Source organism: Homo sapiens, chromosome 10 (assembly GCF_000001405.40).
Source record: "Homo sapiens chromosome 10, GRCh38.p14 Primary Assembly".
Lineage (NCBI taxonomy): Eukaryota > Metazoa > Chordata > Mammalia > Primates > Hominidae > Homo > Homo sapiens.
In genome coordinates, this window is record NC_000010.11 from 73,248,006 (window position 1) to 73,271,489 (window position 23,484).

The window sequence follows — 23,484 nt, forward strand, 5'->3', positions numbered from 1 at the left end:
GGCCTGGAGACCCAAAGCAAGGTTGAGGCTGGGGATAAAACTTTGTTAGTAGGGTAAACTCACAGAGGAAGTATGTGTATACATATCTTAAAGGATAAACAATGCTAAGTGAATACCCGAGTTGGCAGAAAATACCTTATCAAATATCCCCTCACTGATGTAGCATTTTTCAGAATCATTCTGCTCTGCCAATAAGTTTCTGCAAAGCCTCAAACTCTCCAGGATACATTAATATCTTTTAAACTTCCCAGAGTTGCCGTGATTTTCAAAGCATTTCTCTTTCCCAGATCCAAGATCAAACTCAGCTGAAGTCAGTTCCTCTCAACCTGCCCTGGCATCAAAGTCTCAAAGCAAGTGGGGGCCAACCAGCAACAACCCCAGGGGAGCTTTGACAACCACAGAATTTGAGATGGCTGGTAATCGTTCTCAGAACATAAAACACAAAGTAAGTCGGCACATTGATAGAACCTCCTCTATAAATTTCCTATATCTTAGTCACACACCAGAGTTAAGCCATCTGTCTTTGCTCATTTTTCCCTCTATGGACAACATAATATGTTGGGAAGGGCTTTCCAGGAGGGCATAACCGGGAGATGAATCTTACATCACTGGGCAAGTTTCCACCTCTAGGCCTCAGCTTCCCTATCTGTAAAACGGAGATAATCCTACCTGCCTTCATAATACCTTACAATTGTCACAAATAACCTTGTACACAAAAGGCCTAGGATATATGTAGATGCTTTGCAATATTATCTTTCTTCCAGTTTCTTGTATTTTTTAAGGTATTCAAATACATCTATTTTAACATTTTTCTATATATACATTTGCTACGGAAAATTGAAATCGCACACTGAAATATCCTTTTATTGCAACTCAAATTTTCAAAAACCAGAAAATCAAATTATTATGCTCTAGCCAAATTATGTAATGTTTTCTTTTTCTTTTCTCTGTCACCCAGGCTGGACTGTAGTGGAACAATCACAGTTCACTGCAGCATCGGCCTCCTGGGCTCAAGTGATCTTACTGCCTCAGCTTCCCGAGTAGCTGGAACTATGGGTGAGCAACACCACAGCCAGCTAATTTTTTAAGTTTTTGTAGAGACGGGGTCTTGCTGTGTTGCACAGGCTGGTCTCAAACTCTGGCTTCAAGTGATCCTTCCACCTCAGCCTCCCAAAGTGCTGAGATTACAGGTGTGAGCCACTGCCCCAATGGTATCTTTATATTATTTTTCCTTACAAGTTACTTCAAATTCTTGATGTTGAATTTCATCTCACTGACTTCAGGCTTTTAAAACACATGGGAATACTTGAGACCTAAGAATGGTTGTGAGTCAAATAAAAAAGTAGAACTAAAGTATACTGAAGTTATTCAAATACATTCAAACTATAAAGATCCCTTATAGATTACTGGCATCAAGGTAGGAAGGAAAAGATACAAGAAGTAAAATGCAACACTCATTACAGGTTGTCAACATTATTGGTATACAGTTTATCCTAACACAGAGCAGCCTTCTTAACCTGCTCCATAAAATTACCAGCAAGAAAGAAAAGTACAAGAATAAGGTTCACAGCTGAATTGGCTTGGTGTCCTAATTCCCTATTCCAGTATTCTCAGAAGGATCCCATCTATGATATATGCAGAAATCACAGCCACATTTGAATGGTTCAATCTTGATTCATACTGAACTCCCTTAAGCCCAGCAGTTTCTCATTCTTAAAAGGTAGGTTATTAGAGCCCCAAAGCAATTTTCATAACAAATCTACCTTTGTATATTTAAGAATATGCATTAAGGCTAGGAGTGGTGGCTCACGCCAGTAATCCTAGCACTTTGGGAGGCCGAGGTGGGCAGATCACAAGGTCAGATTGAGACCATCCTGGCCAACACGGTGAAACCCCATCTCTACTAAAAATACAAAAATTTGCCCGGGCGGTGGCTCACGCCTATAATCCCAGCACTTTTGGGAGGCCAAGGCGGGCGGATCACGAGGTCAGGAGATCAAAACCATCCTGGATAACATGGTGAAACCCCATCTCTACTAAAAATACAAAAAAATTAGCTGGGTGTGGTGGTGGGCACCTGTAGTCCCAGCTACTCCTGGGACTACTCGGGAGGCTGAAGCAGGAGAATGGCATGAACCCAGGAGACAGAGCTTGCAGTGAGCCGAGATCGCGCCACTGCACTCAAGCCTGGGCGACAGAGCGAGACTCCTCTCAAAAAAAAAAAAAAAATTAGCTGGGTGTGGTGGTGCATGCTTGTAGCTCCCCGGCTACTCAGGAGGCTGAGGCAGGAGAACCTCTTGAACCCAGGAGGTGGAGATTGCAGTGAGCTGAGATTGCACCACCGCACTCCAGCCTGGCAACAGAACAAGACTCCGTCTCAAAAAAAAAAAAAAAAAGAGAATATGCATTAGGCAAGACAATATAAACCTCCAATTACAAAAATCAATTAAGAAAGGTTAACTGTTCTTGCACTTGTGGGATGAACATGAAGATCTGAATGGGCCATGAATAGTCTGGCTGGGGGTTTTGAAGCAGGAAGTCTTGGAAGCCAGTAAATTGTAAAGTTGTCCAAGAGACCCAGAGCCCAACTCAAAAGTCCAATCCTCCCATAGCCACTGTCTATCCCAAGACAAAGTCGAAAAAAGCTAATTAGTACCCACACCCAGCTCTAAGTCACACAAGAACAAATCTCTCCCTGGGCCCTGTGCAGGCCAGGCCAGAAGAGCAAGGGCAACTCAGGATACTCCATTTATTGAACTCCAAATCTAACAAAATTAAGATCGCTGCAGTGTTTCAAAAGGACCTTGACCTTGTTCCCACTGCTATGCTCACTAAAGTCAGCTCATTTATGTTTCTGTAGCCTCTGTATCTGTAGCTTCTGCATCTGTTTTCTGAGAAGCTAACAGGACTTCACGTGCCCGTTTCCTTCGCAGTCTCTCAGCATTTGTGATCATCATAGGATGCAGAGGGAAAAAGCCAGCAAGACCTAAAAGTAACAGATTTTTCACTTATTATAACACAGTATAAGCCAATGCTTCCCTAGGAACTCTGTCTCACAGAACTGAGGTCTGAGATCTGACCCAGTGCATGGATGCAAACCATGCTCCTCACTTGCCAAACTCTGTACTACTTCTCCCCGGCAAGGAGACAGTGGATGTCTACTTCCCTAACAATATTCCCCTTACTTTAAAAAACGTAAACTGACAGATGGCCATTCAAAACATACTATTCCTATTTTTAGCATAAAATACCAGTCACCCAAAGTCTTACAAAGGAGTCCACAAAAGGGGCCTCCAGATTCAAAATGCCAATTAGATCACAACTTCAGCTCCCACTTCAGTCCTGAACAGCCTAGAGGGAATGAAATAACTCTTTTTTTTTTTTCTTTGAGATGGAATCGCCCTCTGTTGCCCAGACTGGAGTGCAGTGACGCGATCTTGGCTCACTGCAACCTCCGCCTCCTGGGTTCAAGCGATTCTCCTGCCTCAGCCTCCCCAGTAGCTGAGACTACAGGTGCGTGTCACCACGCCCAACTAATTTTTTTTTTTTATTTTTAGTAGAGACAGCGTTTCACCATGTTGGCCACTCTGGTCTCAAACTCTTGACCTCAGGTGATCCGCCCGCCTCGGCCTCCCAAAGCGCTGAGATTACAGGCGTGAGCCACCGTGCCCAGCCGAAAATCATTCTTACACCTACTGTCCTGGAGCTGACTTCAGTTTAAAATCCCCTCAATAAGGTAAGACCAGAGCTGAGTTACCCAGAAGCTTTTCCATAGGCTTAGAGAGGTGGGCCCCGCAGCCAATCCAATGACGGATCCTGTCTAGGTTGAGGGCAACGAGTTTTTCTCCATGACTGTTGGGCAATGGATCATAGGAGCCCAGCTGCTCTACGAAACGGCCATCCCTGGGACACTTGTTGTGAGCAGCCACAATGCGGTAGAACGGCCGATTGGTGCAGCCACCCAGGGCAAGGCGGATGGTTAAGTGGCCCCCACGGTAGGCCTTGCAGAGGAGAGTAGCTGTAGAAAAGCAGCTGGTTAGGACACAAAAAACAGCACAAAAAGGACAAAATGACACAGACGGCACAATTCCCTTTTCCCACTGAAATGTCTCACTTCCAATCCATTCCTGTCAATCCAGTTTAGATGCTACTCTTCTTTGTGAAACCCCTCTTGGCCAGTCCAGCCAGCAATGACCTCCTCCTCATACCCAAACCCACCCCGCATGGGCTTGCCATTCACTAGGCTCTGTGACCTTGTCGGAGCCTTAGCTGCTTCAATGGGGTGGAAATTTTTCAGCGGTGATTAAGTGGGGAAAAAACTGAGAGAAGGATCAAATGTAAGGCAGTGTGGCTGCTTCAGGTTCGGGTTGCCTCCATCGCGCCTGGGAGAGCTCTCCCCACCCGGCCCCGAACTCCCGAGCCCCGTGACCGCCCGGAACGTCTCGCGGTGGCCCGATGACTCACTGAGGTGGACCATGGTGCCGCCGGCGTGCGGCTCCTCGGAGAGCCCCGCTACCCGCACGCACCAGCTCTACGGCCTTGGCAGGGCAGAGAACAAACACAGAAAGAACCTGCAAGCCGACACCAGGCCGCACCGCCAAGCGGTACAAGCCCGAAAACCTCGACTCCGGAAGCGGATGATCCGCTCGCCACGCCTCCTCCGCTTGCCGCCCTATACTTCCCACAATGCAACACGGTGACCCCTAACGTACCTTAAACTGCTGCAAAAGAGGCGTTTCTCGTGGTGTCTTGTGGGAGTGGCGGTGCGATCCCTCTCAGACTTGTGAGTCCCTGCTGGAGTCAGAAGTTTTAGGCGAATCCCAGGCGCGCCAAGGAAAGTGCTACAAAAGCCATCCATCTTGCAAGCGTTGGTGCCGAGGCGCAACGCTGAGAACGCAAATACTAAAGGGCGCTGTTCTTTCCTCGTGGAGCTCACAGTCCGCTGGGGAGACCGTGAGATGACAGCAGAGAAACTAGCGCGATCAGTAGTACTCAGCGCAAGGACAGCGAGCAGAGAAGGCAAACCTAGTGCTTGCTAAGGAAGACTTCACAGAGGAGGTAGTGTCAGGGCCGAGACTAGGAGAAGGATTGTAAGTGACTAGATTTTACTTTATCCTTCTCGTTAACCAAAATTAATTTACCTCTCACCTTTTCTCCTGTTGTCGTCCCACCCCTATCGAGGCAGTCACACCTTAAAAAAAAAAGGAGGGGTTATTCCTGCTTTTGCCGTGCTGTGATCCAGGGCAGAGGTGAAGTATGATTTTTTTTTTTTTTATCTGTAGCCCTAGAATATGACCTCGGTGATGAGGGTAACGGTGTCTCCTTGGAGCCCTAGTGGTTTAGATCCATGAAGATGCCTGTGTTTGGTGAGAAGGTGTCAATAGCTCCACCTTCAGCAAAGACCTCTCTGTTCAGCTTTTTCGTTTACTGTTAGTTCCAAAGGGCTAGCATGCTCTTTGCCCTAATACAGTGACCCAGCATAGCAGTCTTCCTCCAGGGCCACCTTTGAAAATGATGCCTTAATTCCTGTATTTCAGTTAACTGAACCTGTCCAGAAACCTTAGCACCTGACTTCCTCCAGGAGTGATCCAATAAGCTTTCATCAGAAACCCTAATAATGACCCCACTATACCTTAATTTTATTGTATGTATATATATGCCATATAATTATTATAGCAATTACACTATAGTTATTTATATAACTAAATACCTACATGTAACTCAGTATACGTTAACTCCAGAACCATGCTGATGAATTTTGAGTTTCATATCTCCATTTTTTTATTGTGACCCAGTTTCTCGTCAACCAGTAAAACATCCAGTAACACAGCCAATGGAAATAAATGAATGGGTCTCTGTTTATAGTGAAGATTCTTTCGTTCTCCAGCTCCAGGCTTCATACGGTAAAACTCTCTGGGAAGGAAAGGAACTCAGAGTCCCATGCAGAAAATTGTTCAGCTGGAGGGGTATCAGAAAGATGGATTTCCAAAGCCAACTGTTTCCTGTAGTGTGTGGATCTCTGCAAGCAGAGCCTCATCTTTCAATTTCAGCTACATGAAAGAGGAAGAAAGGGAAAGATATATGTCATACGTGATATACTTTATGTGGCTTTGAAGACCCCTCTTTTGTGGGGCTACGGCTAAAGAACATAGTTCCCTGGGATGGAATTGGCTCTTCCTATTTCCCTACTTCATGAAAACTCCAGTAGAAGACCTTAGAACCTTGTCCTGGTTACATGGATATGTTTACTTTGTGAAAATTCATCAAGCACTATGCACGGTCATGATTTGTACATTTTTTTGTAAGATAACTTCATTAAAATTTACTTTTTTTATTTTTAAAAAGTGTTCACATTATTACCAGCATCTCTTGGCTAATGCATAGTATTCCCATCTGGCAAGTGATATCAGGGAATCAGAGACAGAAATCATAGGCTTATATTAGATCTGGTTTTAGTTTTAGAATCTAGATATGTAGTAGAGACATCTAGGAGCCTACAGAATACCTATTTTTTCTTACTAACAAAATCTTAATTTCTTTTCAAGGCAGTAATGCAGTCAGCTAAAAAGCCACATTTTCCTGCTTCCCATGCAGCTAGAGGTAGTCATGACCAATTGCCACCCAATGAAATGTAAACTAAAGTCATTGGGTAGGACACCTGGAGAAGCCCTTTATTTAGGGAAAGTCCTTTAAAGGGAACTGAAGTAGCATGGCCCCTTTTTCCTTTTCCCCTTATTGTTCTTTATCTTGCCTGAAACATGAATATGATAGTAAGCTACGCTGGCTGTCTTGCAACTATGAGGGATAGAAACTGCAGGCTACAATTGGTGGAGCACAAAGATAGATTTTGGGTCCCTGATGACATTGTGGAGCTGCGGTACGAGCCCTGGACTTTTCATTAGATGAGAAAAAACTAATTTGTTTAAACCACTGTCTTTCAAGTCAAGTTACTTGCAATTCATAACTAATAGAACAGGCCAGGCATGTTGGCCCCCACCTGTAATTCCAACAGTTTGGGAGGCTGAAGTGGGCGGATCACTTGAGACCAGGAGTTTGAGACCAGCCTGGCCAACATAGCAAAACCCTGTCTCTATGAAAAATACAAAAATTTGGCCAGGCGTGGTGGCTCACGCTTATAATCCCAGTACTTTGGGAGGCCGAGGCGGGGGGATCACAAGGTCAGGAGATCAAGACCATCCTGGCTAACACGGTGATACCCTATCTACTAAAAATACAAAAAATTAGCTGGGGGCAGTGGCGGGCGGCTGTAGTCCCAGCTACTCAGGAGGCTGAAGCGGAGAATGGCCTGAACCCGGGAGGCGGAGCTTGCAGTGAGTGGAGATTGCGCCACTGCACTCCAGCCTGGGAGACAGAGCAAGACTCCATCTCAAAAAAAAAATTCAGCTGGGCATGGTAGCACATACCTGTAATCCCAGCTACTTGGGAGGCTGAGGCACAAGAATCACTTGAACCGGGAGGTGGAGGTTGCAGTGAGCTGAGATCGTGCTACTGCACTCCAGCCTGGGCAACAGTGCAAGACTCTGTCTCAAAATATATATGTATATGTAACTGATAGAACAGACCAGGGGTTGTTCATGAGCCAATCCAGCTCACTACCTGTTTTTGTTTGTTTGTTTGTTTTTGAGACGGAGCCTCAGCCTCCAGAGTAGCTGGGACCACAGGTGCCCACCAAGACGCTCGGCTAATTTTTTTGTATTTTTAGTAGAGACGGGGTTTCACCATGTTAGCCAGGATGGTCTCCATCTCTTGACCTTGTGATCTACCCACCTCAGCCTCCCAAAGTGCTGGGATTACAGGCGTGAGCCACCATGCCTGGCCACTACCTGTTTTTTTGTAAGTAAAATTGTATTGGAACACAGCCATTCACTTATGTATCACCTATAGCTGCTTGTGTACTACAAGTGCAGAGTTTAGTAGTTGCAACAGACTGTTTGGCCTACAAATCCCCCAAAATTTCCTATTTTGCCCTTTACAGAAAATGTTTGCTGATCCCTAGACTAGACCAACCCCTACATATTACACGAGGAAAATGAAGCCCACAATATTATTAACACAGTAAGTTAATGGCAAAACCAGAATCATAATTCAGGTTGACTGACTCCCAGGCTATCTTTCTATTAACTATTATATATTCTCTCTAAAGAGCTGGAAGAAAGATCACCTATGGTAATATGTAGGTTGTTATTACAAACCCAGCAGCCCCACGATAATGGCAAAGATGGTAAGAAAAGCCTCTAGAAAAATATTCACATTATGAAAGTCCTGAATTAAGCCAGTACCTCCCTCCTAATTTCCCACCCTTAACATGGGGCAGGCAAATGACAGAGGCATCTGTGTCATACCTTGATCATGTACTTGTAGGCCTGCTCAGCTTCTAATTGCCGTCCAACCTGAAAAAAGTGCAGCAGTTGGTGATGATGACAGGTCATAAACATTATGGTAAGGAAAATACATTGCCTCAGCTAAGGCAGAGGCACCTACACCTAAGGCAGAGGCTTCTACACCTTCCAGTTAAGAACTTCTGAATTGAGAGGAAAAACTAGCAAATGAAAGGTGGTAGGGAGAAAAAGGTTTTTTTTTTAAAAAATTCCTCCTGGCCAGGCGTGGTGGCTCATGCCCATAATCCCAGCACTTTGGGAGACCGAGGTGGGTGGATCACAAGGTCAGGAGATCGAGATCATCCTGGCTAACACGGTGAAACCCCGTCTCTAATAAAAATACACAAAATTAGCCGGGTGTGGTGGCATGCGCCTGTAGTCCCAGCTACTAGGGGAGCTGAGGCAGGAGAATCGCTTGAACCCAGGAGGCAGAGGTTGCAGTGAGCCGACATCATGCCACTGCACTCCATCCTGGGCAACAGAGTGAGACTCCATCTCAAAAAAAAAAAAAAAAAAAAAAAGGAAAAAAAATTCCTCCTTCCTTTTGAAAAGCTTAAAGATAACTTGGCCTCTCACCTTTTTGAAAGCACCATGAGTCATTTGTTCCTCTTAGGACTGAAGCCATTCTGTTAATAATAATTAACACTTACCACTCCGTACTATGTGATTTACATTGTTTTCATTATTGATGTTGTTTTTAGTGCTTTATTTAAGTTCATTCTTAATCCTCAAGACCTAGGAGATAACTACTGTTATTTATTATTCCCAATTTACAGAGAGGATAAGTAACTTGCCAGGGTTATGAAGCTAGTAAGTAGAGGAGCCAGGTTTAAAACAATGCAGTTTGACTCCAGAGTCCAAGTTTTTAACTACTACATTACTCTGTCTCTAGGAATTAGAAAAAGTAGGTATCAGAATTACTTCTATGAAGATCTGGATATGAGATAAGAACATTAACTACTCCCCACCAGTTTATATTATTCTTTGCATGAAGCACTCCTCCAGAAGTTAAATGAGATAATATGAATCCACTATTCTACTTCTTGAGTTTGCTACATAGTTACTTAGAGTATGCAAAGTCACTTGGTAAAGCTTAAATATGTAAGAACCACAGAATATTCGTGTCTGAAGGGGACCTGGGGAATATCTAGTCCAATTTTCTGATTAATGCTAGTCCATATGAAAGTTTTACTGGTTCACAAAACTTTCACACCCTAAACCCTTACTTCCTCCAAATCTACACTTTGAAATGTTCCCAACTGAAGTTCACTGAATTGCCAGCAGCATTTTCCAGCACACCTGCCTTTCCTACCACTATTACTTTGTTTCCCTCCTGCCACAGGGAGGCAGAGGCCCAAATGATGTCAGGATCCAGAATAGCCAAAACAATTTTGAAAAATAATTTTTCTGCTATCATGAACATTGCTGCAGTAAACATCCTTGTACATTTCTTCTTCTTCTCCTTTTCCTTCTTTTTTTTTTTTTTTTTTTGAGACGGAGTCTTGCTCTGTCACCCAGGCTGGAGTGCAATGGCACGATCTCAGCACTCTCACAGTCTCAGCACTGCAACCTCCACCCCCTGGGTTCAAGCGATTCTCCTGCCTCAGCCTCCTGAGTAGCTAGGATTACAGATGTTGTATGTGTCTTCTTGTATTTTTCTTAGGATTATATCTAGATATGACATTGCCAAATTGTAGATATGAATGTAACTAAATAATGCCACATTGTACTTAAAAGTGGTTATGCCAATTTACATCCAATTACAATTATGAGAGTCTTCATCAGTGCTTGTTGTGGGAAGTCAGGGACACTGAACGGAGGGACCGGCTGAAGCCATGGCAGAAGAACATAAATTGTGAAGATTTCTTGGACATTTATTAGTTCCCCAAATTAATACTTTTATAATTTCTTATGCCTGTCTTTACTGCAATCTCTGAACATAAATTGTGAAGATTTCATGGACATTTATCACTTCCCCAATCAATACTCTTATAATTTCCTATGCCTGTCTTTACTTTAATCTCTTAATCCCATCATCTTTGTAAACTGAGGATGTATGTTGCCTCAGGATCCTGTGATGATTACGTTATCTGCACAAATTGTTTGTAGAGCACGTGTGTTTGAACAATATGAAATCTGGGCATCCAAAAGGAACAGGATGGCTGTGATTTTCAGGGAACAAGGGAAATAACTATTGGGCCTGACTGCCTGCAGGGCCGGACAGAACAGAGTCACATTTCTCTTCTTACAAAAGCGAATAGGAGAAATATCGCTGAATTCTTTTTCTCAGCAAGGAACAGCCCTGAGAAAGAGAATGCATTCCCAGGGGTAGGTCTCTAAAATGGCCGCTCTGGGAGTGTCTCTCTCTTATATGGTTGTATATAAGGGATGAAAAAAGCCCCGGTTTCCTGTAGCGCCCCCAGGCTTATTAGGATTAGGAAATTCTTGCCTAGTAAATTTTAGTCAGACCAGTTGTCTGCTCTCAAACCCTGTCTCCTGATAAGATGTCATCATTGATAATGCGTGCCCAGTGGGACATGAAACTTCATCAGCAATTCTAATTTCGCCCTCGTCCTGTGATCTCGCTCTGCCCCCATTTGCCTTGTGATATTTTATTGCCCTTGAAGCATGTGATCTCTGTGACCCACACCCTATTCGTACACCCCTCCCCTTTTGAAATCCATAATAAAAACTTGCTGGTTTTGTGGCTTGGGGCATCACGGAACCTGCCGATGTGTGATGTCTCCCCTGGACACCCAGATTTAAAATTTCTCCTTTTTGTACTCTTTCCCTTTATTTCTCAGACCTGCTGACACTTAGGGAAAATAGAAAAAAACCTACATTGAAATATTGGGGGCTGGTTACCCCAATAAGTGCTAATACCATACTTTAATTTTTGCCAATCTGATGGTTGTGAATTTCTGCCACATCATTATTCTAAGTTGCATTCTTATGCTTACTAGTGACACAGAGCTTCTTCTCATACATGTATTAACTTTTACAATCTCCACATTAGCAAACTGCATATTCCTATATTGTTCCCCATGCCCCTCCCCCTCCTTTGTTTTTTCTTTTTTGAGACAGGGTCTGGCTCTGTCATTCAGGCTGGAGTGCAGTGGCACAATCACAGCTCACTGCAGCCTCAACCTTCCAGGCTCCAGTGATTTTTCCCACAACTTTAAAGTTGGAAACTCATGTATAACAAATGACACTAAAATAAAGTTTAAGGACTTATTATAAATATTGGCAGAATTTATAACTAATAGAGGATTAGCATCCAGGTTATATAAGTAGCTGCTACAATAAGGAAAAAACTCTACAATCTGATTTTAAAATGGGCACAGGGCTGGGTGCAGCAGTTCATGCCTGTAATCCCCGCACTTTGCAAGGCTGAGGGGGAAAGATCGCTCGAGCCCATGTGTTTAAGACCAGCCTGGGCAACATGGTGAGACTCTGTCTCTACAAAAAATGAAAAAATTAGGCATGGTGGCACACATCTGTTGTCCCAGCTACTTGGGGGGCTGAGGCAGTAGGATCATTTGAGCCTAGAAGGTCGAGGCAGCAAGTAAGCTGTGTTCCTGCCACTGCATTCCAGCCTGGGTACCAGAGCAAGACCCTGTCTCAAAAAAAAAAGAAAAAAAAAGGACTTAGATCTTAGATTGTTAGGGCTGGGCACAGAGGCTCATGCCTATAATTGCAGCTCTTTGGAAAGCTGAGGCATGAGGATTACTTGAGGCCAGGAGTTCAAGACTAGCCTGGGCAACATAGTGAGACTCTGCTCTACACATAATAAAATAAATTATCCAGGAGTGGTGGTGCATGCCTGTAGTCCCAGCTACTCAGGAGGCTGAAACAGGAGGATCCCTTGAGCCCAGGATCGTCCCACTGCACTGCACTCCAACCTCAGCAACAGAGCAAGACCCTGTCTCTTAAGAAAAAAACTTAGGTCTTTAAACCAGTTGGAATTGTGTGTGATGTGTGAGGTAAGGAACTAATTTTTTTTTTAATATGGATAGTAGCCAGTTGTCCCATCACCATTTAGTGAAGAATCCATTTGTTTCTCATTTTGCAGGTGCTATATAGTGTCTTTATAAAAAAATAGCTATATTAAGGCATAACTTACATACCATAAAATTCACTAATTTTAACGTTATGTTGTGCAAGCATCAGCACAATCCAGTGTTAGAAGACTCCTGTTACTCCAAAAAGTTCTTTCATGCCTGTTTGCAGTTACTCTCCATCCTCACCTTTAGCTCCAGGCAACCATTGATCTATTTTCCTTATTTCAAATAAATAGAATCAAATAATATATAGTCTTCTGTGCTTTGCTTTTTTCACTTGCCATAATATTTTTGACATTTATCCATATTGTTACATGAATCAGAATTTCATTTTAACTGCTGAGTAGTACTCCATTGTATAAATATTCCTCATTTTATTTACCCATTCACTGATGGACATGTAAAATGTTCCCAGTTTTGTGCTATTATTAAATGCTGTGATAAAAGTTCATATACAAATTTTTGTGTGGACATATGTCTTCATTTCTCTTAGCTAGATATAGAGAAGTAGAATTGCTGGCACATATGGTAAATATGTGTAACTTTTTAAGAATCTGACAAACTGTTTTCCAAAGTGGTTGTACCAATTTACAACCCTACCAGTAATGTACGAGGATTCCAGTTTATCCACATCTTTGTTAATACTTGGCATTGTCTATCTTTTTTTTTTTTTTTTGAGACAAGATCTCATTCTGTCACCCAGGCTGGAGTGCAGTGGTGCCATCACAGGGGCTCACTGCAGCCTCAACCTTCCAGGAAAAGGTGATTCTCTCATCTCAGCCTCCCAAGTACATGGGACTACAGGCACATGCCACCACCCCTGGCTAATCTTTGTATTTTTTTGTATTTTTTATTTACTGTATTAGTCAGTTTTCATGCTGCTGATAAAGACATACCAGAGACTGGGCAATTTACAAAGGAAAGAGGTTTAATTGGACTCACAATTCCAAGTGGCTCGCGAGGCCTCACAATCATGGTGGAAGGCAAAGAGGAGTAAGTCACGTCTTACGTGGATGGTAGCAGGCAAAAAGAAGCTTGTGTAGGGAAACTCCCATTTTTAAAACCATCAGATCTTGTGAGACTCATTCACTACCAGGAGAACAGTGCAGAAAAGAGCCACCCCCATAATTCAATCAGCTCCCACCTGGTTCCTTCCACAACAAGTGGGAATTGTGGGAGTTACAATTCGAGATGAGATTTGGGTAGGGACACAGCCAAAATATATCAGATGGGGTTTCACCATGCTGTCCGAGCTGGTCTCAAACTCCCAGGCTCAAGCGATTTGCCTGCTCGAGCCTCCCAAAGTGCTGAGATTACAGGCATGAGCCACCATGCCTGGCCTATCTTTTTGATTTAAGCTATTCTAGTGGGTGTGTAGTGCGGTGTCAATCTGCATTATTTTAAGGGGTATTTTAAAATTTTTTGGACATAATTTCAGATTAAATAAAAGTTACAAAATCAGTTCTCTCTTCTCTCAGGAAAGAATACATGTACTGTATACATATTATATATATGTATACATATGTATATATGTATACATATGTATATATGTATATATTATATATGTATATATGTATATATTATATATTATATATGTATATATGTATATATTATATATGTATATATATAATACATATACAGTAGTCTCCCTTATCTGAGGTTTTGCTTTCCACACCTTCACTTACCCAAGATCAACCTCGGCCCACCAAGATCTGAAAATATTACATAGAAAATTCCAGAAATAAACAATTCATAAGTTTTAAATTGCACACTGCTATTATGAAGAGCCTGATGAAATCTTGTGCCATCCCTCCCAGGATGTGAGTCATCCCTTTGTCCAGCATATACCCACTGTAGACGCTACCTGCCAGTTAGTCACTTCATAGCCCTCTCCGTTATCAGATCAGCTGTCATGGTCTCACAGTGCTTGTATTCAAGCCACCCTTATTTTACTTAATAATGGACTCATAGCACAAAAGTAGTGATGCTGGCAATTTGGATATGCAAAAGAGAAGCCATAAAGTGCTTCCTTTTCATGAAAAGGTGAAAGCTCTTGACTTAATCAGGAAAGAAAAAAAATGTATGCTGAGGTTGCTAAGATCTGTATAATGAACTTATCTTTTATCCATGAAAATGTGAAGAAGGAAAAAGAAATTGTGCATATTTAGTAGCACCTGTGGGCTATTAGAAAAAAATTTTTAATAATTATTTTAAAAAAGAAATTCGTGCATGGTATATATAGGATTCAGTACTATCCTTTGTTACAGGTATCCACTGGGGGGTCTTGGAACATATCCCTGGGGAACAAGGAGGGATTACTGTATGTGTGTGTGTATAAAAGTTAGAAAAATATAGAAAAGTTAAAAATATGTAGAAAAGTTAAAGTATATATGTGTGTGTTTATCTACATAAACACACACCTAACTCTTCCTGAACATTTGCAAGTAAATTAGAGATATGATTCAATTTTAATACTTCAGAGTGTGTTTTCTAAAATCAAGGATATTCTCCTCTATAACCACAGTACAATTATCACAATCAGGAAGTTAGTATAGATAGAATACTATTATCTAATCTATAGACCTTATCAAGATTTTTCCAATTGTTCCAATAATATCATTCATTCATTTCTTCATTCACTCATTCATTTATTTGAGACAGGATCTTGCTGTATCACCCAGACTGGAGTGTAGTGGTGTGAACAGGTCACTGCTGCCTCGACCTCCTGGGCTCAAGCAATCCTCCCACCTCAGCCTCCCAAGTAGCTGGGACTACAAGTGCCATCATGCCCAGCTAATTTTTTTAATGTTTTGTAGAGATAAAGTCTCACTATGTCGCCCAGGCTGTTCTTAAATTCCAGGGCTCAATTGGCCTCCCAAAGTGCCGGGATTACAGGCATGAGCCACCACGCCCAGCCCAATAATGTCTTTATGAGAAAATAAATCCAAGATCATGCATTGTATTTATTATTTATGTCTCCAGTTTCTTTTAATCTGGAATAGTTCTTGAGTCTTTGTGTTTCGTAACACTGGCATTTTTTAAAAATAGAGCACTATTTTGTAAACTATTCCCCAATTCATATTTGTCTAATGTTCCCTCATAATCATATCAGGTTATGAACTTTTAACAGGAATACCATAAAAATGTTCTGTTCTCAGTGCACCATATCAGGAAGCACAAGCTGCTTATCTCAATACTTGTGATGTTAACTTTGATCATTTATTACATTGCTATCTGCCAGGTTTTTCTACTCTAATGTTACTATTTTCCCCTTTGTAATTAATAAGTATCTTGTGGGGAGATACTTTGAGACTATGAAATATTTTCTTACTCCTTGAACTTTTCAACCATAATTTTAGCATACATTGATGATTGTCCACTGAATCTATTATGATGGTTTCCAAATTGCGATTTTCCAATTCCATCATTCTTCATACATTTAGCAGTTGGCCTTTGACTGTAAGCTTTCCTTTCTCTACCACTTATTTGTTTAATTATATCACTGTGGGCTCATAGATTCTTATTTGTAATCCTTTTCTACAAATTATTTATTTGGATGCTCAAATTATCCTTGTTTTAGCCAGCAGGTGTCCCCACTTCAAGCTAGTTTCTGTTTGTTTTATTTTTTCCCTATGCTGTTTTGATATGTGCCAGTCTTTCTTTGAACATTTTTTACTTTCTGACTCAACAAGATCTCAGACTCATCTTTTACTTTCCATGCACTAGTTCTGGAATTTTGGCCATCTTCCAAGAAGCCTCTGGTCCCCCCACAAACCCTTTCCTTCTAAACTGGACAAATGCCCTAGTTTCTTAAATGGATTTAGAAACCAAGACCTGAGCATTAGATGTGCTTATGCCCCCTGCCACCACTATTTATTTTTGAGACACAGGTATTTAGACACATATGAATATATTTCTATAAATACACATATATTTCTATATACCTATTTATACCTGTATCTATTTAATCTATCAAACAATGAGCTCTTATCAGTATCTCCCATTCTAATCCACCACTACAAGGTCATTCTATCCTTCTTGTTTCCACATTTGTAACTTCCTTTGAAGCACAGTGAAAAATGTGACTCCCATTATCCACAACATAATTATTTGTTAAATCATAGAATACCTAGTAATTTCAGAACTGCTAACTCATGACTTTGCAAAAATGAAGCCTAAAACTATACTCTAAAATGTGTATAAAGGTTTTTTCTCTTTAGCCTGATATATAGTATGTATTAGTCTACATTGCAAAGAATGTTTTCAAAAGTACCATGAGTTAATTATTTTTCTGCATTGTCAGTCTAATTACGTTATTCATTTGAAATACAATTTTATTTGGTTTTGTTTGTACGTAATTATGTGGTCTCCCCATTTCTTGCTGATTTTCTTTTTTAAAAAATATACGAAACATTAGCATTGTCCCAAAAGTCAGAACTCTACAAAAAGGGACATCACAGTGTCATCCCTCTCATTTCCTCCCTCCTCTACCCATGCCCACTCATGTCCTGTAGAATCTACTCTCATTAATCTCGGTTTATCCTTCCTCTGCTTCTTTTTGCACTAAAGAAGAGATTCGGCCGGGTGCGGTGGCTCACGCCTGTAATCCCAGCACTTTGGGAGGCCGAGATGGGCGGATCACGAGGTCAGGAGATCGAGACCATCCTGGCTAACACGGTGAAACCGTGTCTCTACTAAAAATACAAAAAATTAGCCGGGCGTGGTGGCCGGCGCCTGTAGTTCCAGCTACTGGGGAGGCTGAGGCAGGAGAATGGTGAACCTGGGAGGCGGAGCTTGCAGTGAGCCCAGATCGCGCCACTGCACTCCAGTCTGGGCAACAGAGAGACTCCATCTCAAAAAAAAAAAAAAAAGAAGAAGAAGAAGAGATTCATGTATATTTTCTTCTTTTTCCTTCTCTCTTATACAAAAGGTGGTATAATCTTGCACTTCACTTTTTTTACTTAATAATATAAACTGAAAATCATTCCACATCAGTTCATAGAGATCTTCCTCATTATTTTTATTCAGGGGCATAGTATTCCATTATGTGAATATACTATAGTTTATTTAGACATTCTCCCATGTTTAATAAATGAACTCCATTTAGGTTGTTTCCATTATTTTGCAATTGCAATAATGCTGTAATTAATAACTTGCGCACGCTCATTTTCAAATTGCTAGAGGAAGCGCATCATGGTAAATTTCTAGAAAACTCCAATTACTTTTAAATACCATCTACTCAAAACCTAAGTTTCCATATATATGTCAGTCTATTTCTGTCTGCCAATTGTTTCACTTACCTACTCTTACACTAATAGCACTCAGTGTTAATTGTTGCAGCTTCATAATAAGGCTTGATATTTAATAGGAAAGCCACTCTTACTCTTTCTTTCATACTGTCATAGCTATTTTTTTTTTTTTGGTCTTTATTCAACCAAGTGAATTTTAGGATTTATCTCATCAAGTTCCTTGAAAATATTATGTTATTATTTTTATTGGAATTGCCTTAAACTTAGATATTAACTTAGGGAAAACTTTCATCTTTATGTCATCAGAACTTCCTGCCCATGGACATGGTATATCTTTCTATTAGATTTTCTTTTACAATAAAGTTTTATGATTTTCCCCACACAGGTCTTGAATGGGATTTTAAAAATCAGACTTTCAAATTGATTGTTCCTGATTTTGATGACATTGATTTTTATATTGATTTTTATCCAGCAACTTTGTCCATCCACTTCTTTGCGTTAATCTTCATTGACTAAATTTATATTATTCAAAAGTCAAAAGGATATAATAAAGCATACAATGAGTTTTGCTTCCACCCGTCTCCCTATACACCCTGTTCCCCAATGACTGCCCTGACTAGTAACCATCATTGTTAGTTTTTTATCTACCATTTCAGTAGTGAACTCTTTTATTACATATTTCAGTTTGCTTGTAGATTTTCTTGGGTTCCTACCTAATCCTTTTACCTTCAGTTTCTTTTATGTGTGTATGTATATGTGTTATTGCCTTAATGGAACCTCCAGTATAGTTTCAAGTAGAAGTGACGATAACATTTTCCTTATCTTGTTCCTGACTTCAAAAGGAATGCTTCTAACTTTTCACCATTTCATATAATAGTTTAGATTTTGGGACATGTAGTTTCAGATTTTAAAAAAGCTAGTTTGCTTTTTTAAAAAGTCATGAATGGGTGTTAATTTTAGCCAATGATTTAGTTTTTAAAATAATTAATAGAATAAGAATAGCCTATGATTTTAATTTAGTCTCCATTTTGCTGCTAATATTATTTGTGTCTTTCCATTTTAAACAAAATTCTTAGTCATGCAAGAGGTTTGTCTGTTCACTAGTCTCTGCAAAAAACAGCTCATAATTTTGTTAATCCTATTATGTCCTTGTTGAAATTTTCATTTATTTCTACTCCTTATCATTTTCTCAATTATCATTTCTTTGAGTTTCCTTGCTTTCCCTTTACTACTTTATTTATTTAAAAATTAATTCATTGATTTTCAATCTTTGTTTCTAACATATGTATTTAAGGCTATAAATTACCCTCTATTTATTGCTTTAATTTTATCCCATAATTCTAATATATATTGGCTTTGTTTTTATTCAGCCTCATTTCAGTTATGTACTGAAGTATAACAAACCAACCCAAAACTTAATGGCTTAAAACATAATATGTTATTTCTCAAAATTCTACAGGTAATTTGGGCTGTTTTGCTGGTTTTCCCTGAGATCACTCATGCAGCTGAGGTCATATGACAATTTGGCTAGGACTGAAGGATCCAAGAAAACCTTACTCAAATAGCAGTTAATGTTGGCTGTTGGCTGGAGTGGTTCAGTTCTCTTCCATGTGGACTACTATAGCCTTCTATAGGCTAAACTGGGCTTCTTCACAGCACAGTGGTCCCAGAGTTTCAAGAGTGGTAGCTGAAGGCTTCTAAAAGCCTAACCTCTGAGAATTCACACAATGTCACTTGCACCATATTCTACTGGTCAGGGAAAGTCACAAGTTTAGCTTAGATTCAAGGGGGTGGAGAAATGAGAAAGAGACTCCGTCTCTTGATGGGAGTGAGTGGCAACATAACATTGCAAAGGATGTGGACATGACAGCATAATTAAATGGGGATCATTATTATAAAAATCTACTATAAGGCCTAATTTTCTACTGCTGTGTATAACACCCATTTATCATATCACATTTTCCATAGATCAGAAGCCTGACATTATTCAACTAGTTCTTTGCTTAGGGTCTCACAAGGCCAAAATCAAGGTGTCATCTATGCTGAGTTCTTATTTGCAGGCTCTGGAGAAGAATGTACTCCCAAGCTTATTCAGTTTGTTGGTAGAATTCAGTTCTTTGTGTTTATAGGTTCCTATAAGGTCCCTGTTTCCTTGCTGGCTCTCAGCAGGGGCTGCTGTTAGCTTCTAGATGCCACCCACATTCCTTGACATGTGGTCCTTCTCCATATTCAAGCCAGAGATGCTATACTGAATGATTCTTATGTTTCAAATCTGACATCCTTTCTGCCCCCACCACCAGAGAAAACTCTCTGCTTTTAGAAGACTTACCTGACTGGGTCAGGTCCACCCAGATAATCTCTGTATTTTAATGTCAACTGATTTGGTATTTTATTTACATCTGCAAAATCATTTTACAGCAGTACCTACATTAGTGTTTAATAGATTAATCTTAGGGGAGGGGGCCATCTTTAGAATTCTACCTAGCACAAAAGATTTCATATTTGAAGTGTCACAAGGTTTCTTCATTGACTTATTAATTAATTACAAGCATGTTTTCAGTTTCCAAAGGTATATGAGTCTTTTGGGCTTTATTTTGGTTGTTGATTTATAATTTTACTGCCATGTGATCTGTATGTATTTGTTGAACCCCTCTTTCTGGTTTTGCATGTGGTCAACCTTTATACATAACTCATTTGTACTTGAAAAGAATATGTGTCCTCTCATTGTTAAGTGAAGAGTTCTACATTGGTGTTTGAACTCAAACCTGTTGAATGGGTTATACATCTGTATATATATCCTATTTTTTTTCCTATTTGACTTATCAATTTCTAAGAGAAGTATATTATGGTCTTCCATACTGGCCCTTTTAGTTTAAAGATGAGGAAATTGAGGCCCAATAAAGTTAGGTGACTTGCCTCAGATCCTAGAGCTAGTTAGGGGAGAGCTGGGGTAAGAACTCTTTTTATTTGTTTTTCTTCTTTTTTTTCTTTTTTTTTGAGACGAGGTCTCACTCTGTCACCCAGGTTGGAGTGCAGTGGCACAATCTCAGCACCCTGCAACTTCTGCCTCCCAGGTTCAAGTGATCCTCCCACCCCAACCCTCGAAAGTAGCTGGGACCACAGGCGCTCCCCACCATTCCTGGCTAATTTTTTGTAGAGGCAGGGTTTTGCCATGTTCCCCAGGCTGGTCTTGAACTCCTGGGCTCAAGTGATCCACCTGCCTCAGCCTCCCAAATTGCTGGGGTTACAAACGTGAGCCACTACACCCAGCCAGACCTCAGGTATTTTTAAAATGTTGATATTTGGGATATTTACACTAAAGAGAAAATCTAGTAATTTTTGTTTGGTTCATTTCTCTTATAATAATACTCCCTGCCAATTTGGTGTCATACTGTCCAGTGGAAAACTGAGGGCTACTGTCGTTATTCCCAATGTGATCTTAGACTGATACGCAAGTTATTTAAGTCTAACTATGGGAGAGTTATTTTTAATAGGTAAAGCACCTATCATGAACTCCCACATTACCCTCCACCCAATATCCCATCTAAATCAAGGACAAGCACCCTCAGCCAGCATTTCAATGGGAAGAAATGATTCAGAAACACTAGTAGAACATCTCCTTCATCAATCTGTGACCTAGTTTATGTTGTGATACAATATTGCTCCTATTTTTAGAACTTCCTTTCCAGAGAAACACACCTAAATATATTATTTTTAAGCATGTTCCAAGTACAGCCTGCCCAGACTTGGCCCTTCCTTTGTCATCAGCATAATGATTACACCTAGAGCTTATCAGATTTCAGCTACCATGCATTAATGGCCATCTGCTGCCCCTTGCTTACTTGACCCCTCACCTCTGTGCCCTAAAAGGGCATTGTGTAAGGATAATAAACACTCACTTTCAGGCAGACCAGAGCCAGATATGCCCATACTTCAGCATTGTAGTTGTTCAATGCATTGGCTTCAGAAAGAGCATCCTCAGCCTCTGTGAGCTCCTCCAGCTTGACAGAAAAATGAGACATGTGAGTTAGCTTAGCTGAAACCACTATGTCCCAATAATACTGGTGTATATGACCTATACCAATGGTTTTCAACTTTTTAATATTTTTAGCATCAGAACTCTTTTCTTCAAAGGAAATCTTATGTGGTGGTTCAATATATGAACCAATTAAAAGTAGAAGAGCTCTGATTAAAAAGCCAGGTCGGGGATTCTGAAGCCCTGCCTAGTAAGCTCTTAACTTATACCCCTTTCTTCCTTCCCTCTACAGCGGTCCCATCAGGACATCTATAAACCATGGAGTTTCAGGTGCAAGGTTGGAAATCCACAGGAACTCACTCTCATGTGTGCATCATTCAGTGATTTCTCCACACACAGTGGGCTGTCAGATACATTTATAGTTTTTTTTCTTTACATTGTGCATCCTTTTCTTGAGGTAAAAATCTGATTTGCCTGTTGAAATACTATTGTCCAGAAAGCTTTCTTTCCCCTAGTATCAGTTATTAACAGCCCAATCCCGAGCAATCAATGCAGTATTCAGAAACTCTAGGGTGCACTCTGGGCTCTGGGCACGTGGAAATTGTTGCTGCTTCCTAAAACTGTGAGTTTGCTTTGTTGCTTTGTAAAACATTCCAAAAGGCTCTCCCTTCCCCAGTAAAGTAGCTCTTTTTTTCCTTTCTTTTTTCTTTTCTTTTCTCTTTTCTTTCCTCTCCTCTCCTCTCTCCTCTCCCCTCCCCTCCCCAGCCACCCTTTTCTTTTCTCTTTTCTTTTCCTTTTCTTTTCCTTCCCTTCCCTTCCCCTCCCCTCCCCTCCCCCTCCCCTCCCCTCCCCTTCCCTTCTCTTCGACAGAGTCTCGCTGTACTGCCCAGGCTGGAGTGCAATGGCATGATTTCAGCTCACTGCAACCTCCGCCTCCCAGGTTTAATCGATTCTCTTGCCTCAGCCTCCCAAGTAGCTAGAATTACAGGTGCCCACCACCACACCCAGCTAATTTTTGTATTTTTAGTACAGACGGGGTTTCACCACATTGGCCAGACTGGTCTCAAACTCCTGGCCTCAAGTGATCTGCCCACCTTGGCCTCCCAAAGTGCTGGGATTACAGGCATGAACCACCTGTGTCCAGCCTACTTTTTCTGCTTTAAAATAATTAAATAATGGGTTTCTAGGCCAAAGACAAGAGATGGCCTTTCACCCACACCCATACTTTGGCCCACACTTTGAAGTCTCTGAGACATTGATTCATTATTTAATCAACCTACATTTGCCAAGGATTTGCTCTGTGTCAGGCAGTATGCTAGATGCTGGGAGTAAAAAAATAAAATCCCGTAGTCCCAGGTACTCAGGAGGCTGACGCAGGAGGATCAACCGAGCCCCGGAGGCAGGGATTGCAATGAGCTGAGATTGAGCCACTGTACACCAGCCTGGGTGACAGAGCAAGATCCTGTCTCAAGTAAATAAATAAAATACAATATCTGCCCTCAAAGGGCTCACTGACAGATGTGTGAAAAACAAAACACAGGCCGGGTGCGGTGGCTCACGCCTGTAATCCCAGCACTTTGGGAGGCCGAGGTGGGAGGATCACCTGAGGACAGGAGTTTGAGACCAGCCTGGCCAACATGGCGAAATCCTGTGACTACTAAAAACACAAAAATTAGCTGGGTGTGGTGGCACATGCCTGTAATCCCAGCTATTCAGGAGGCTGAGGCAGGAGAATCACTTGAACCCAGGAGGCAGAGGTTGCAGTGAGCCAAGATGGCGCCACTGCACTCCAGCTTGGG

The 23,484-nt window shown here is 41.2% G+C and overlaps 2 protein-coding genes and 1 long non-coding RNA gene across 26 annotated transcripts in view, besides 5 other annotated features; 1 reads left to right on the top strand and 2 right to left on the bottom strand.

Annotated features, from left to right (window-relative positions):
- The window catches only part of DNAJC9-AS1 (DNAJC9 and MRPS16 antisense RNA 1), a 29,618-nt gene that overhangs the window by 639 nt on the left and 5,495 nt on the right, over nucleotides 1–23,484 (top strand). Inside the window, exons 1-3 of one of the 4 annotated variants that reach the window (NR_134460.1) lie at nucleotides 4,736–5,058; nucleotides 5,186–5,249; nucleotides 5,888–6,344. This is a non-coding gene — a long non-coding RNA (DNAJC9 and MRPS16 antisense RNA 1). Of the gene's footprint in view, nucleotides 1–287; nucleotides 446–4,735; nucleotides 5,091–5,185; nucleotides 5,250–5,887; nucleotides 6,345–23,484 lie in introns of those variants that run through there. The other 3 variants (NR_134459.1, NR_038373.1, NR_134458.1) reach the window with 3 other exon arrangements.
- On the bottom strand, nucleotides 844–4,639 carry MRPS16 (mitochondrial ribosomal protein S16). Of its 3 annotated transcripts, none has more exons than NM_001410935.1 (3): nucleotides 4,465–4,639; nucleotides 3,758–4,018; nucleotides 844–1,313 (listed from the first exon to the last, which is right to left on the bottom strand). In NM_001410935.1, exons 1-3 carry the CDS (start codon nucleotides 4,475–4,477, stop codon nucleotides 1,288–1,290), a joined length of 300 nt encoding a protein of 99 aa, NP_001397864.1. In that variant the 5' UTR covers nucleotides 4,478–4,639; the 3' UTR covers nucleotides 844–1,287. The 3 variants fall into 3 exon arrangements, with proteins under 3 accessions (NP_001397864.1, NP_057149.1, XP_047281219.1); NM_016065.4 differs by having other exon boundaries at nucleotides 844–2,986; XM_047425263.1 differs by having other exon boundaries at nucleotides 844–2,986; nucleotides 4,219–4,639.
- Nucleotides 4,358–4,925: an enhancer, noted in NCBI's record as "OCT4-NANOG-H3K27ac hESC enhancer chr10:75012121-75012688 (GRCh37/hg19 assembly coordinates)". NCBI's record gives its function as "activates a minimal SCP1, AML or CMV promoter by ChIP-STARR-seq in naive H9 embryonic stem cells {active_cell/tissue: H9 hESC(naive)}" and the evidence as "EXISTENCE:reporter gene assay evidence [ECO:0000049][PMID:30033119]".
- Nucleotides 4,358–5,034: a biological region, named in NCBI's record as "OCT4-NANOG-H3K27ac hESC enhancer GRCh37_chr10:75012121-75012688".
- Nucleotides 4,365–4,654: an enhancer, noted in NCBI's record as "active region_3558". NCBI's record gives its function as "activates an Ori minimal core promoter by ATAC-STARR-seq in GM12878 lymphoblastoid cells {active_cell/tissue: GM12878}" and the evidence as "EXISTENCE:reporter gene assay evidence [ECO:0000049][PMID:35858748]".
- Nucleotides 4,775–5,034: an enhancer, noted in NCBI's record as "active region_3559". NCBI's record gives its function as "activates an Ori minimal core promoter by ATAC-STARR-seq in GM12878 lymphoblastoid cells {active_cell/tissue: GM12878}" and the evidence as "EXISTENCE:reporter gene assay evidence [ECO:0000049][PMID:35858748]".
- The window catches only part of CFAP70 (cilia and flagella associated protein 70), a 109,218-nt gene continuing 91,490 nt past the window's right edge, over nucleotides 5,757–23,484 (bottom strand). For 18 of the 19 annotated variants that reach the window (XM_047424551.1, XM_017015627.2, XM_017015621.2 and 15 more), the window contains 3 exons: nucleotides 21,609–21,710; nucleotides 8,364–8,411; nucleotides 5,757–6,050 (listed from right to left, as the gene is read on the bottom strand). In XM_047424551.1, the coding sequence (XP_047280507.1) occupies nucleotides 5,970–6,050; nucleotides 8,364–8,411; nucleotides 21,609–21,710 (231 nt within the window). In that variant the 3' untranslated portion in view covers nucleotides 5,757–5,969. The remainder of the gene's footprint in view (nucleotides 6,051–8,363; nucleotides 8,412–21,608; nucleotides 21,711–23,484) is intronic. The other variant, XM_017015626.2, reaches the window with a different exon arrangement.
- Nucleotides 7,721–7,896: a silencer, noted in NCBI's record as "fragment chr10:75015484-75015659 (GRCh37/hg19 assembly coordinates)". NCBI's record gives its function as "represses an EF-1alpha promoter that drives an FKBP-Casp9 reporter gene in an ReSE screen in phorbol 12-myristate 13-acetate-treated (for megakaryocytic differentiation) K562 erythroleukemia cells {active_cell/tissue: K562(+PMA)}" and the evidence as "EXISTENCE:reporter gene assay evidence [ECO:0000049][PMID:32094911]".